Genomic DNA, 15337 nt, shown 5'->3' with positions numbered 1-15337 from the left:
AGAGAGCATAAATGCATATTACTAAGTGAAATAAGTCCATCTGAAAAGGCTACAGACTGTATGATTCCAACCATACGACATTGTGGAAAGGGTTCAACTATGGAGACAACAAAAGGTCAGCGGCTGCCAAGAGCTGTGGTGAAGGTAGTGATAAGCAGGGAGAGCACAAAGAAATTTCAGGAGAGTAAAAATACTCTGTATGATACCATAATGAGGGTATTACACATTATGCCATTATACATTTGCCCAAACCCATAGATTATACAAAACCAAGAGGGAACCTTCTTATAAACTATGCATTTGGGGTGATGATGATGTGTCAATGTAAGTTCATCAGTCGTAACAAATATACTACTCTAGTGGGGAATGTTGATAATTGAGGAAGCTGTGGGAAATCTCTGTACCTTCTTCTTCATTTTGCTGTGAAGCTAAAACTGCTCAAAAAAGTAAAGATTTTTTTAAATGATAAAGATCAATACCTGATTATACCTTCAGCATTTCTTTTTACAATATATTCTAGGTATGTGGGTTTTATAATATTTGACAGTATTTTGTTGGAGTTGTAGCATTTTAAATAGTGGCTAATGAATGTAAAATCATACATATTGCAAACCTACACAGAGGGCCCCCCAAAGGAATTCAGATAACACATAAGCCCTTAGGATACTGGGCTCCACAGCCCTGCCTGCCATCTTCAGTGCCAAAACGTAAGTGCATGACCACTTAGTTCTACGGTCTTGTGACTAAAGCTTCCAAAAAGCTGAGTCTGCATTTCAAATCAATAAAATACCAAAATAGTCAATCTTGTATAATTATGTGTTTTACATTTGTATATAATTACATGTTGGTTCATATTATTAACAAACTTGACTTCTGGACATGCTTCATAACCAATGCATATTTATTTTATGCAAATCACTTAGAATGGCCTTCAGATGCATGTGCTCAGGTGACTGACTAAACAGCACAAATAAAGGAGAAAGAAACATTATGGAAACTTGGCAGATTAGAACCTCACACATGCATCACTTCAAAATGATTTCTTATGTATTATCTCATTCCCAGCCCAGTTACAAGCCCAGGAAGTAAATTAATAATCACCAGAAGTCAGTGTGTGCATATAAGAATAATTTAGGCACTTTCACTTAGCAAATTTATTGATGTATATTCATGATGTTTATACACACAGTTATAGATCATAGACAATATATCCAAAACATCTCTTAAATCTGCCCCCTTCTCCACATTCCCACAGTGGCCATCCTAGTTTCAACCTCCTTGTCCGTTACCTTTCTCTCCTCTCTGACCCGTCTCACACTCACTGCTCTCAGCATCTTCTGCTTAAGCAGAGATTCGGTTACTTCCCTCCCCTGTTTAACGACCCACCATATCTTCCCCCTCTGCCTAGTGCTTCATGAAGGAGCCTGTTGAATAACAGCAGGTCAAGCAATTCCTTTGAGGACTCATGTTGTACCTCTAAAATGTATGCAAAGTTTTTTCACTCCAATCTATAATTTATACTTGAATTTAATACAAATATCATGGTTTGGACTATTTCCTTTTCTAGGAAAATATGCTATGGCAGGCTGGTCTTACAGCTTCACAAAACCCCTGGCACACTGCCTCCTCATGCCCTCAGAGATGCCTAGACTAGGGCCAGGTGAAATGCAAACTTGCAGAGGAACTCAGGACGCCTCACACACTGCAACCTTACTGTCCCCACACTCATCTAGCACCTCCTACCAAAGAAAAATCATAGCCTCCCCCTTGTAAGGTGTGCTTCTAGAGCATATAATTCTTACAAAAGGGTCTATAAAACTATCAGTAGTTTGGTCAGTACTATATTGGTCTTTTAGAATGTCTCAAAAAACATAGCATAAATTTTCTGAGAAGTCTTGCAGCAAAACCTGTAGTAAAGATCAACAGGTTGCCAGTGTCCCATAAAACACACCTTGTTGAAAGTGAGCTGTCCTCCACTGCACTTTCAGTCTTTCCTCAACCTGGAAAAGATTTCCTACTTTCAGTGGCAAACTCCTTCTCATCTTTAGAACTCTAACCACCATCTCTTTGAAGCCACTCTCAGCTGCTCTAGTTGAACACAATGTTTTCTAGCACTTTGTATAGATATTTATGTTAAATTTCATCACATGTAATTTTGGATTTACTTTTTAATCTCCCTAGCCAGCTCATGAGATCTCTGAAAGGAAAAATAATCCCTCATCTTTCTGTTAATTCTCAGAATTTGTCAAAGTCTACAACAGGAGCTCAATAGCATGTGTGGAATAAATTGATTAAAGAGTAAATGATCTTTCACAAAAATCAAATATGTAACATCATATGGTGTCTTCCTATCACTCCAGTCAGGAATCTCTGCTGACAAACAAAAGCAATCAATAACAATATTTGGGAGTAGGAAAACCAACTACTATGGTCTCTAGAACAGTCCAGTTAAAATGGGCAACAAATGTGTAAAGAGAATCTATACCAGCCAAGATTTTGCCACACGAAGCCTTTATGAGAACCATTGTGTCTCTGTCCAGAGCGCTGAGATTTCAGCTGGAGAGACCTGGCTCTGCTTCAAAAACCAGGCAGAGCCAAGTAAGGCTGGAATACAAATGTTTGCATATTTTGTTATGTCTGATAGAGACTTCGGCTTCATCCAGGATCTCAGGAAAGTCACATTAAATTAGTTACAATTCACCCAGTTTAAATAAATTAAATGACTTTGTTCTGCCGAAGTTACCAAGTCTAAAGGAAGCAGCAGATGAAAGACAAAGGACTTGTCCGATGTTGGTTTTCCTCATAGCCCTACCTCTAATCACAGAGTGACCTTGGGCATGTGACCACACCCTTCTAGGCATGGACTTCTTGACCTCTGAGTTGAGTAGTTACATAATTAAGATGGAGCAGACCTTCAGTGAATCACCAGTGTGGGCAAGCACTTTCTCTCATTTAATCCTCTCAAAACCCTCTGAAGCAGGTATTATTATTCTCATTTAACACATGAGAAAACAGAGCTTAGAAAGGTAAGTGAGTTTGTTCAAGGCCACTCCATGAACATAGCATTGCCTGGCTGGGAAGTTCAATGTGTTCACAGCCAATACCACGGCTAAGGTGAGAGATAAACTTTCTCCCGCCCCCTTCCCATGACCTCTGGCTGCTGACAGCCTTCTTCACATGCATTTCCTAAGGACACTGGAATGTCATTGACACAAAGTGCCAATGTGCTATTTTTGTAATTTTCTAACATGACAAAAGTTATTTTAAATGTTCATGTAGTATAACACTAACTTATGCCTAAACTTCTCCTAAGACTCAGAGCTCCTCATAATAACTTGGTTTCTTAAGAGTCTCTTAAAGAAGAAGTTCCCAGAAGAAAGCCTGCAGCTTCTCCGCGAGTGGTCTCTTCTCCAAAAGGTGCTGCCGCAGCCTTTGCAACCTCAGGAGCCTGTTCTACTGACTTCCTCCTGTTCCTCTACTGAGGGGCTACTACACCATCACCCCCATCCAGGCAATACAGGGTCACCCACTCCAAGAGAGACAGCTGTGGAGCAGACACAAACAGTGTGACAGCCTGGCTGGAGTTGACCCTGGACAAATGGGGGAAGAGGGGGCTACTGTCCCTTTCTCACCCTGTCACACACCACTTGCGGGGTGTGTTAGCTCTGCTGCCTGGTCCTTTTTCATGTGGTTTCTGCATGAAAATGACCATAATCACATATCTAGCTTTAAGGTCTCTTCAAGTTGTTTCCATATTCTTTAGTTGATCACAATGACTGACAGTGTGCATTTTATTAGCCGGAAAGCCAAGGCTCAAGATGCTTAAGAAACTTACCTAACAGCAGCCATCCAGAAACCAACACAGACAGAACCCACCGAAGATCCCAAGTACAAATCCTGAGCTCTTTAAAGCAACTGAGGAACTGCTCCATAAACAGCAACTTTTGCTGCTCTGCAACACATGAGACTGAACCTGCCTTCCCCTACAGCTCTTCTCATGATAACTTTTCCACATCATCACATATACATTCAATATTTTAAAGCATGATTCTGTCTGTAGGAGGAAGAACACATTTGAGGCGAGTGTAGCGTTGGAAAGGAGGCAATGTATGATGGCAATTTTAACTAGGTTAAGTGATATACCATTCATCAACATGATAGTGCGGGTAACTGTTTATTTGTAGGATTATGAAATATCACCTCTTACCTTTTTCCACTTTGCCAGGTAGCTCTTAGCACTATTTCTTTTTTAACCAGTAATTGTGGCTATTCTCTCACCTCTTTCCCATCATGCTCTCCCTCCCAATGAACATTATTATCCCTGTGCCCCACCCTGCCACACTCCAGGGTGCTCCACAATAGAATCCGATACTCCGTATAGACAAGACACCAAACCCACTTATAATGAATTAAACACTTGTGTGAAGTATTTGTATTGTATGGAGAATATACCATGAATATTGAATATCCAAAGCAGCATAGAGGAACAATAGGCAAGTTTACACAGATTGGCTAACTGAAGTGGGCACTAGCAAGGCTGCAAGGCAAGAGACCCACGGAACTGATGGCAGCTGCCTGGAGGGACAGACACATGTATTCCTGACGGGGAACCCTGAGTCCTCGGAGCAGGACTCCCAGTACCTGTCCTCACCAGGAAGGCAAAGCATGCCCATTCCTAAGATGGGGTCACAGTGAAAGTTCACAGCTGGCCCTCTTGCCCTCTGCCTGGATAGATTCGCCAGCTGCAAAGCTCAGGGCCAGGCCCCCACCAAAGAAGTTACATACCATAGGCGGCAGAAAAGTCTAGAAGTGGCTAAATTGACAATGCTGGAATGCAAGTCAACACTTACACCATAAGGGAGATTAAAAAGTGAACTTCACCTGTTCTTGCTACTGAGTCCCAGCTCAGGATGCTTGAGTTTCTAACCTGAGAGAAAGGTGGGACCCAAGTAACCATGCACAGGTGGCCAGGGTGATGGAATAAGCTTTACCAGGTCCCTCCTTGGCTGGAGGGGAAACCGAGAAATGAGACACTCAGGAGAGGGCAGGCTGGGGACAGACTCAGAGCATGGCCCTGCCTAGCTTGGGGCCAACTAGAGTGCCCCAGCCGAGCTCCACCGCCTGGCCGCCCGACGCTGTCTAAAAAGCCCCTCGGAGCCCAGGAAGGGGAGAGGGCAGCCCTGTAGCCAGGCGGGACTCACCACGTCCATGATCTGCAGGAGGCTCAGGGAGAAGTAGACGGTGAGTGGTTGCGAGTCATTGGCCACGGGCCTCTCCAAGGGATTGTAGTTCTTGACCAGCTCCTTGTAAAGCTTCCTCTGGAACTCGCCTTGCAGGGACACTTAAGGAGAGAAGACCCGGGCAGGGGGCTCAGGGCAGGCCGGCGGGGGTACCCCCGACTCCCTCCTGCCGGCGTCCCCCGCCGCCCACCCGGTGCAGCCCAGACAAGCAGCCCCCGCAGCGCCCCCGCTGCCCCTCCCCGGCGGCGGGGAGATCCCAAACCTGGCCCAGGCGCGGGGCGCACAGAGGCGCCCGGGATGTGCCCGGGATCCCACGGAGGAGTGGAGGGCGGGGAGGCAGTGGCTTTACCGTGCAGGAGCGACGCGGCCAGCGCCAGCCAGACGCCTCCCGGCGAGCAGCGCATGTTGAGTCCCGGAGCTGCAGCGAGCCGGCGCGCTCCACGTCTCGGCTGTCGCCCGGGCCTGCGCCTGCGGCCACAGAGGCACCTCGCCGCTCGGCTCGCGCGCCTTTAAGGAGCCGGGCGCGCGCCCCCGCCCCGCCCGCCCCCGCGCGCCTCTCCACGTGACGAGCCCCGCCCCCGCCCCCGTCCCCGCCCCCCCATCCCTCCAGCCCGGGCCAGCGTCTCGGCGGCCACCCAGGGAACTGCAGCCCGAGGTGTGAGCGGGAGGTACTCCCGGCGCTGGGTACGCTCCGGGCACCTCCACCCCCAGTCTCCACCGAGCGGGCTCTCGGCCTCGCGCCTCTGGCCAGGCCAGGGGCTGCCCAAGGCCAGGCTCTACCTCTCCCTTGCGTTCTTTGTCCCCACTCAGCCCGCTCCCGCTCTCAGCCAGAAGCTGCGCTGGGCACTCGGGAGAAAGCCGGGACAATTCTGGGGTCCAGTCTTCCCGGACTCCCTCCTCCACGCCAGCGACCGGGTGGCAGCTATAGGGAACCAGGCTTCGGAAGTCTTGCCAACCAGACAAAACAGACCCGAGGAAGCCCCCCTCCTCCCGCTTTCCGCGAGCCCCGGTTTGCTTTCCGCACCGTTTGCTGGGCGCCAGCAGCCAGACTCTCGGCTGGGATCTGAAGTGCTGGAGGCACCCTGTCGGGGAGGAGAGATGCCGCCAATGTGTGTGATGGGATTCCCAGTGGTTACCCTAATGTATGGCTCATTCTTTTTTAAAGGAGATTAAAAAAGATTGAAAAGTTAACTCCTAACTCTTTGCTGGAAGGACAGCCAGAACTTGGTGTTCTTATCTAGGCTCTTTTGAGCCAGCGCATTGGAAAGAGTAAATGAGGAGAGGCTCTGAGAGGTCCAGGGAGTGCGGAGAGTTCTTGATGTTGAAGAGGGGGCTTGATTTTGGAAAGAGGAAGGGAGGGAGGAAGGCGCCAAGGGGCGGCTTCCAGGGTGGCTGAAGCTCCATCCCATTTGCTCCCTTCTGCTGAGCACAGCAGCGCCCTGCGTCCGCGTAGGGGGCGCTGCCACCTTCTTTCCTGCAGCCCCCGGGCATCCGAGCTCCACCAGAGCAACTCCCGTGGACCACGCAGCGGCAATGCCTGGGTTTCTGAACTGCCGAAAACCACGGGATTCTTTTAAGACTCCAAGAACTAGGGAAAGGCTCACCAAAAGGTGACTGAGCTTGACTGTACCCCAGTAGCAGGAATGGGGGACTGAGCCCAACTATTTGATTTGGAAGAATAACGCAGTATATTGCCCTTGCCATGAAGTGTCTTAAATGTATTACTGTTAATGTACACATGTTTAAACAAAGGGTCAGCATAGGCTTTCATAACTGCGGTAAGAGCCTAGAAGAAGGATTAGCTGTTTTTGGAGAGTGGTTAATAGAAGAGGTGACAGCTGAACTGGATTCACCTCAAAGGATAGCAGTCATTCTGCCAGGAGAAAGGGACGCCAGGGGTCCCTGGAGAGCAGACAGGCGTGCCCTTAGCTTCATCTGGCTCTTGAGTCCCCCTACCACTTCTAGCAGTCCGGACATCACAGAGCAGGCACTTGATGAATTAATTATCTACAGGGGATTAGTTGTTGGTAAAGGGAGAATTAGAAGAAGGGAAATAAAACCCAGTAGCAGAATAGAGAAAGCCCATGAAGCATCAGTGAAAAGATTCTCAGTGGCACATCCCCTGCACTGGTCATGGGACTGTAACAACACTCTTCTACGAGCGCTGAAAGTACCTAAGAGCCCTGTCTTCCCTTCTAGAAGAGCATGAGCCCATGGGGCCAAGGGAATTTATTGATTTTTTCTGGAGTATGGCTATCAGGATCACATTCCTGAAACCAGAACTGCTTCTTTACCGCCATTGCACCCCATAATATCAGAAACCTAGAAATAAACCATTTTCAGGTGAGACAAGCAATTCGTAAATATTTATTTGTCCTCTGTTCTCGCTAGGCACCTGGAGGACCTGCAAGCGCAGTCCACTCACTCAGCTTACAATGTAGGACTGCTGGAAGTTGGAAAATAAACTTCAGTCTCCCCTGTGCCATAGGTAGGTCTGTGAGTTTGGCTGTATTGACTCCCATCTATGGGACTCAGGTTTTTCATTTGTGAAACGAAGAAAAGAGCAGAACATTCTTGGAATAGAGCTGACGGGACTGTATAGGTTCTACACTCACTCCCGTTCCCAAAGCAAAAAAAAAAAAAACAAAAAAAAACAAAAAAAAAACAGCAAATAAAACATAGCAGGATGTGAATACATGCCTGGGCATACCAAAAATATAGATTCTATGGGTAAGAGGGAAATTTTAACACACTCTCAGGAGGTAAGGTGACCTTGGGCTTGGGGCCTATGAGAGGTGGGGAACTGGAACTGAGATATTCACATAAATCCAGAAATTGGTGTAATCTCCTTTCCAGTGTAAAAAAGACCAGGAAACCTCAACCATTAGCCAGGGAAGTGGAAGGAAGCATGTTTTCTGCTTGGGCTCCGGATAGGGGGAAAAAGATAATTACACATTTAAAAACCAAAAAGTGCATTAGGCTTAGGTGTGGAGTCCAAATGTGTATTATATGGTTTAGAATTCAAGAATTCCTCCGGAGGAAGATTTAGTAACTTTACACACATGGGACTCCAAAAAATGCCCCCAAATCGCAATATCCATGAAAATCAGTTCAAAATAAAAAATATAAACCATTCAAGGAAACAAACTCTACATCATCCTAGGCCATCGTCAATTAGGGAAAGTCAGTAGGCAGAGTAAACAGGAAAATGTGTGCCTCACAATTTGAGATAATAGGACACTGAAAAATAAACTATAAAATTTGTGGCCGGGTGCAGTGGCTCACACCTGTAATCCCACCACTTTGGGAGGCTGAGGCAGGTGGATCACCTGAGGTCACGAGTTCGAGACCAACCTGGCCAACGTGGCCAAACCCCGTCTCTACTGAAAATACAAATATTAATCGGGCATGGTGGCAGGCACTTGTAATCCCAGCTACTCGGGAGGCTGAGGCAGGAGAATCGCTTGAACCCGGGAGGCAGAGGTTGTGGTGAGCCCAGATCATGCCATTGCACACTAGCAGGGCAACAGAGCGAGACTCCATCTCAAAATAAATAAATAAATAAAAATAATAAAAATAAATAAAATTTGTACGTTTAAAATGGTAAAGCTAGTTATCATAGTGGGTGATGTCCATTGCAGTGATAATCCTCAATTCTCATTGGCTTACCACAATGAAAGTTTCTTTCTCCCTCACACCACAATCAAAAAGTTCAGATGACTTTGCTGGGTGGCTACCTTCCTCCCCAGGTCTTTCAGATATAAAAGATCCTTTCATTAAATGGAGAGTCAATGTAAGACAAAAGCACTATTCAAAGAATAAATTCTGAGAACTTTTCAATATTTACAAAAGACATCAAACCACAAATTCACTTGGTCATGGATTTGATTACTGCTGAATTTAATTTGTTAGTAGATTTTAAAAGAATTTTCTATGTATATCCATGAAGGATATTGCTCCATCATTTTCATTTCTTGTAATTTTATCATCTAATTTTGGTAGAAGATCTTATGCTTCCTCCTCCTCTACTTTCTGAAATAGTTTGTGCAAGATATAATTTGTTTCTTAAATGTTTGATGAAACTAACTAGTGGAACTATCTGTGTCTGGAGTTTTTGTGGAAAGATTATTTTCTTAACGTTAACCCAATTTTTAATAGATATGTAGTACAATTCAGTTTCTATTTCTTCTTGGGAAAAGCTTACTAAATTGTATTTTTTTTTACAAATGTGTTTATTTCATTTAAGTTATTGCATTTATTGACATAAAGTTGTTTATTATGTGCCTTTATTACCTTATGTATATATATAGGCTATGTGGTGATACCTCCTCTTCATTACTGTTTCAAGGAATTTGTGTTTTCTCCTGTTTGTTCTTGATTACACTTACTAAGGTTTAACGATATTACTAATCTTTTCATGGTACAACTTTTTGCTTTTTCTCAATTTTTTTTTTGAAATTTCAGTGATTTCTATTCTTGTGTTTCTTATTACCTTCTACTTATTTGGGGTTTAATTTGCTCATTTTTTACAAACTTCTTGAAGTGTAAACTGAGGTTGCTGATTTTAGATTCATTTCAAATGTAAGCATTTAAATATGCAAATTTCCATCTAAACACTACTTTAGTTGCCTCCTCCTAATTTTGATATGTTCTATATTCATAACCTCCAGTTCAAAATATTTTCTAACTTCTTTGTGATTTCTTCTTTGACCGATGATTTACTTCAAATTGTGCTTTTCTGTTTCCAAAACAGCACAGTTTTTTCTAGATATATACTATTCTTAGATATTGTCAGTCTCTCAAAATATTTGTTCTAATTACACTCCCAGCACAATGTATGAGTGATCTAGTTGCCTCACATAATTCATCCACTTGTCTTTGACTTAATTTCAGATTTTTTTGGCTTATGGGTAATTTGATCTCAATGTGGCTTTTAATTTGCATTTCCCTGATGACTAAAGAAGTGGAGCAGCTTTTCATGTGTTTATTGTTATTTTGGATATCCTTTGTGAACTGATTTTTCAGGGTTTTTTGTCCATTTTTCTATTGTGTTGTCTGCCTTTTTCTTATTTATTTGTAGGAATTAATTCTTCATTCAGAAGGAGTCCTTTGTCAGACATTGATATTGAACATAATTTTTAGAACTCTGGCTTCATTTAACTTTCTTAATGGTATCTTTTGGTGAATAGATATTCTTAATCTCAGTGTAGTCCAATTTATCAACGCTTCCAATCACAGTTTGCATTTTTTGTGTTGTGCTTTAGATCTCTTTGTCTACCCCAAGGTCGTGAAGGTAACATCCTATGTCTTCCTAGAGTTTTATGGTCTTACCTTTCATGTTGATATTTGTCACCCATCTAGAATTAAATTTTGTGTATGCTATGAAGTATGGTAGGAATAGGGATTCATTGTCTTATATGAATATTAAATTGACTCTATACCACTTAATGAAAAAGTAATCTTTCTTCCTGCATTGCCATGTCACCTTTGTGCATCACATAACAGTGTATATATGTGGGTCCAGTCTATTTGCTTAGACTTGCACCAATATCACACTCTTTTAATGACTATAGCATTATAGTAGCTCTTTATACATGGTAGTGTTAATTTTCCTCCTTTTTAGTATTTCTTCAAGATTGTCTTGAATATTCTTGACCCTTTTCATTTTAATAGAATAAAATAATTTATTTTATATTAACTTTACTGGGATTCTATAGAATTTTTAGATCAACTTGGGAAGGATTGATGTCTTTACTGAGTCCTGTAATATACAAACGTGATGTTTTCTTCCACTTATTTAGATCTTGTTTAATTTCTCACAATAATATTTTGTAGTCTTCAACACAGGTATTTTGGCACACTTTCATAAGAATTATTCATAGACATTGGTGTCTTTTGATGCTATTAAAATGACAGATTTTTTACATTTAATTTTAAAACTGTTGCATGTATAGAAATATACATGATATTTGCATATTGGTCTTTTATCCAGTGAAGTTCTAAACTCTCCTATTGATTATAATGGTTTTTCTGTAGATTATCCGTCCCAATCCTTATTCATCTATTTCTTTTTCTTGGCCTGTTTCACTCACTATGACACTAGCTGGGACCATCAAATTCAATACTGAGTAGAAGTCATAGCATACTGCTTTGTCTCATTTCTGGTCTCAGGCAGAAGGCCTTCAATAATTCACCACTATATTCGTTTCCTAGCACTTCCATAACAAAGTACTGAAAACTCGGTGGCTTAAAACATATAAATGTATTGTCTTACAGTTCTGGAGGCTAGGAGTCTGAAATCATGATGTCAGCATGCCCCTGCTGAGACTCTGGGGAGAACTTTCCTCGTCTCTTCACAGTTTCTGGTGGTGGTTGGCCATCATGGATGTTTGTTGGCTGGCAGCTATGTCTCTCCCATCTCTGCCTTCATCTTCCATTGTTGTTCTCCCTGTGTGTCTGTGTTCAAATTTCCCTCTTCTTATAAGGACACCAGTCATATTGGATTAGGCCCCAACTTAATGTCCTCATCTTAATTTGATTGCATCTGCAAAGACCCTATTTCTAAATAAAGTCACATTCATAGGTATTAGGGGCTAGGATTTCAACATATCTTTTGTTGGAGACATAATTCAACCCACAACAGCCACTAAGTAAAATGTTAGCTATAGTTTTTTGTTGTTCTGTTTTGTTATTTTATTTTTTAGATAAACCTTTTCACAAGGAGGAAATTCCCTTCTATTCCTACTCAGATAACAATCCTTAAAAATCACAAATGAGGGTAGAGTTACATCTTTGTAAAGTGTCTATTAAGATGAGATTGTTTTTATCCTTTTTTCATTAGTATTTTGAATTGCAATGACTTTTTATTGTTGAGTTAACCCTACACACAATACAAAGATCTACATTATTGATCAGATTTATATGAAATTCAAGTCTTGTTCAGCACCAAGCTTTACTAATGATTAGTAAAAGATGCAAGCAAGAGCAGCAACATGCACCACTTCAATATCTGGGAGACCCTGAGCTCTTCACACTCAGCTCTCTGTGTCTCCTTTTTCTACTCAGAGTGAATTTTGCCTTCAGAGTGAGGAGTGCAAACTGCATAGAGGACAAGTTAGTGCAAGAAAGCAACTGGGTTTAGTTATCACTCAGCTTTTATATCCTCCAAGGCAGGCAGCCCTGTACTGGCTACATGACTAACTTCTATTGTCCAATGCAGAACTGCAGCTCGTAAATTGCAGATCTATTTATAACAAATATTATAGACAAGCTAGGTGTTTTGTCCTGAAAGTGCTCCTGGATCCATAGTCTGTACCTAGCAACCCTTGCTGAAGTTTCACTTACGGTGTAGCTGGTGTGTTTCATCAGCCGTCCTTTGCTAGGAGTTTGGGTCACAATTAAAACTGTCTCAGAGGCTGGAGGAATGAGTTACAGACACACTGTTTACCCATTCCTTCCCATTTTGCAATTCTGAAAAGTAACACATTTGGTTATTATTTTTAAAAGTATTGTTGAATTTGTTTCACAATTATCTCCTTAGAACTTTACATTTATCTTTATCAAAGGAAACATGCCTCATATTTTCTTATTTTAATAATAAGCTTGTAAGATTTTGGTACCAAGATTATGCTGGCCTCATAAAATGAGTTGGGAATTATTCCCCATTTTTTATATTCTGAAAGTGTGTAAGCTTTGTGTTATGTATATATTTTCTCCAAAAGTTATTAGAAAAATTAACCAGGGAAGTCATCTAACTTGATATTTCCCTGTCAGAAGGCTTCATTTTGTAATTTTTTCCATGGAAACATATGAACAGAAAAATCAAGTCATAAGTTTCAGAAGTTTGCTTATCTGAGCACTTTTTAATACCACTTTGAAGATGTGTTAGATAATGCCAACATCTCATCATTGATGTCTGTTGCTTGTCTTTTCTAATGAAAGTTGAAGGTTTTTTTGTTTTATTCTTCAAATGCAATATAATTTTGGATTTTATACTGCACATTTTGAATATTATGTTGTGAGCCCCTTCTTGTTTAAATTTTGTTCAAATCCTATAAAAAGTGTTACTATTTATGTTTTAGCCTTCTGTAGGCTGTGGTTCCCATATCAGGCCAGTTTTCGAAGCCTTTCAGTAATATTCACATTTGTCCTAGACCTGTACCACTTACTTAGTGGTCAGTTAGGAAAATGAGCAAAGGTCTACTGGCTATCTCAGTTCTCAGAGTCTTTAGTGTGCTGATTATGATCAGGACCGTGAATGTACAGGTCAGAGGTGAGTCCTTGAGCTGATAAACAGTGTTATGGGGTCACTTTCCCAAGCTTGCGCTCTGCTATCTCTCCAGTACTTTCTGGTTTCCTGACCTTCTCTTTTTCAGTCCTCTGACCAAAAACTGCTCTGTTCCATAATTACAGTCTATACCGGGCCCATACAGTGCAGAACAGAAAGAAAAATGGAAACACCTGGGATTGACTCTACCCTCTTGGAACTATAGCCACACCAAATGCTAGAGGGAGATTCCCTCTCTCAGATACTTAACTCCTTCAGTTTTTCCATTGCTGGCTGTCTTTGCTCTTCCTGCTACCCACATTATACAATTGCCTGGGGCTAGGGTGCAAGAACTGAGGAAATGGGGAGAAAAAATGGGGGATTTCTCTCTCTTTCTCTACATTTCCCTTTTCTGGTCTTTGAGCCTGAGCTAGAGAGTTTCTGTTGTTTCTATTTCCGCACCTCAGTGCTTAGTTCTGGTTTTCTAACTGCGTTGAATTCAGACTGGGAAATAACGCAAGGAAAAAAAGATTAAACTCGCCAGCAGTTCATGTGTATTTTGATGGTATTCTGATGGTTTCTTCCTTTGATCTGCCTACTGATGTTTATTTTGCAGAGTTCCCAAATTGCTGCCTATGCATTCTGTTCAGGTTTTATAGGTTGTATTCAGTAGGAAAGGGTGTGTTTACCCCATCTTCCCTGGAACTAGATCTGGAAAGTTACTTTTCCGTTTTTTTTTTTTTTTTTGAGATGGAGTCTCACTCTGTCACCCGGGCTAAAATGCAGTGGCGTGATCTCGGCTCACTTAAACCTCCACCTCCCAGGTTCTAGCATTTCTCCTGCCTTAGCCTCCCGAGTACCTGGGATTACAGGTGCACGCCAAGGTGCCGGCTAATTTTTTGTATTTTACTAGAGGCGGGTTTCACCGTGTTGCCCAGGCTGGTTTCAAACTCCTGAGCTCAGGCCATCCACCCACCTTGGCCTCCCAAAGTGTTAGGATTACAGGTGTGAGGCACCGCACCCAGCTGGAAAGTTACTTTTTATATCTGCTATTTACTTAAGATTACCAGTATAATTTATATAGGCATAGTTAATTAATTTTATCAACATATGGTTTCTTAATTCACTCTCTTTCCCCCTACGTTTACTCTTTCTATAAACATATATCTTTACTTTTTAGTGAGTCTCTTTATATGGTAAGTTCTCTGCCATCGTATGTCTATAAATGTCTTTATTTTCCATTTGAATTGTGTATTTTTTGTCAGAATAAAGGAAAACGGAAAGCAGTTTAGACCAAGTGTACCACTTGATGAGTTATTACAAAATAAATGTCCCTTTAACTCCACCCATAAATTAGAGAGAACTTGGCAGCAACCACAGAAGGTTCAGGCCACCTTCCCAAGACAAGCACCATCCTCCCCTAACAAGACTAACTCCTGCTCTAGCTTTTCTGGAAATACCCTTATTACTCTTTATTATTATTTCATTATCTAGTTGAGGAGCCCTAAACAGTGAGTTTAGGTTAGCCTGATTTTTAAAAATTTCTCTCTGTATCTTCCTAAACTGAAAGATTTTTTTTTCATTTTAGAAACCAATCCTGTAGAGTCAAGATTCTGCTGATTCTGCTGATTGCATTCCCATGGTAGAGTTTAATGTTTCATTTATCCTCTAGATTTCCTGCAGATTAGTAGTTGAATCTATAAACTTAATCTGATTCAGATTTCACTTTGGGGAGGAAGATTACACCATCGGTGCTGTTGTGTTCATTGTGTTCATTGTCAAGAGGCACACAATATATACTTATCTTTCTTTCTTTCTTTTTTTTGAGACG

General features: G+C 42.0%; 2 protein-coding genes across 5 annotated transcripts in view, besides 1 other annotated feature; one reads left to right on the top strand and one right to left on the bottom strand.

The window, feature by feature from the left end:
- Positions 1-5756, bottom strand: part of CHRNA7 (cholinergic receptor nicotinic alpha 7 subunit) — a 142536-nt gene extending 136780 nt beyond the window's left edge. For 2 of the 4 annotated variants that reach the window (NM_000746.6, XM_011521178.4), the window contains exons 1-2: positions 5590-5724; positions 5202-5341 (exon numbers count right to left, since the gene is read on the bottom strand). In NM_000746.6, coding sequence (NP_000737.1) covers positions 5202-5341; positions 5590-5644 — 195 coding nt within the window. In that variant the 5' untranslated portion in view covers positions 5645-5724. Of the gene's footprint in view, positions 1-5201; positions 5342-5502 lie in introns of all 4 variants that reach the window. The other 2 variants (NR_046324.1, NM_001190455.3) reach the window with 2 other exon arrangements.
- Positions 5100-5665: an enhancer, noted in NCBI's record as "H3K4me1 hESC enhancer chr15:32322777-32323342 (GRCh37/hg19 assembly coordinates)". NCBI's record gives its function as "activates a minimal SCP1, AML or CMV promoter by ChIP-STARR-seq in primed H9 embryonic stem cells {active_cell/tissue: H9 hESC(primed)}" and the evidence as "EXISTENCE:reporter gene assay evidence [ECO:0000049][PMID:30033119]".
- LOC124903441 (uncharacterized) lies at positions 5643-7705 on the top strand. The gene is made up of 3 exons (XM_047433397.1): positions 5643-5682; positions 5851-6382; positions 7632-7705. Exons 1-3 carry the CDS (start codon positions 5643-5645, stop codon positions 7702-7704), a joined length of 645 nt encoding a protein of 214 aa, XP_047289353.1. The 3' UTR covers position 7705.

This window comes from Homo sapiens, chromosome 15 (genome assembly GCF_000001405.40).
Source record: "Homo sapiens chromosome 15, GRCh38.p14 Primary Assembly".
NCBI classification, from domain to species: Eukaryota; Metazoa; Chordata; class Mammalia; order Primates; family Hominidae; genus Homo; species Homo sapiens.
The sequence above is the reverse complement of the archived record's forward strand: the minus strand, read 5'-3'. Positions and strand labels throughout refer to the sequence as shown.

Excerpts from the sequence above, each read along its gene's own strand:
- LOC124903441 (XM_047433397.1), top strand. The coding sequence starts at position 5,643 with ATGTTGAGTCCCGGAGCTGCAGCGAGCCGGCGCGCTCCAC. Across the intron at positions 5,683-5,850 it reads AGCGAGCCGGCGCGCTCCAC|CCCGGGCCAGCGTCTCGGCG; the intron begins GTCTCGGCTGTC and ends CCATCCCTCCAG. Across the intron at positions 6,383-7,631 it reads TTCCCAGTGGTTACCCTAAT|GCACCTGGAGGACCTGCAAG; the intron begins GTATGGCTCATT and ends TGTTCTCGCTAG.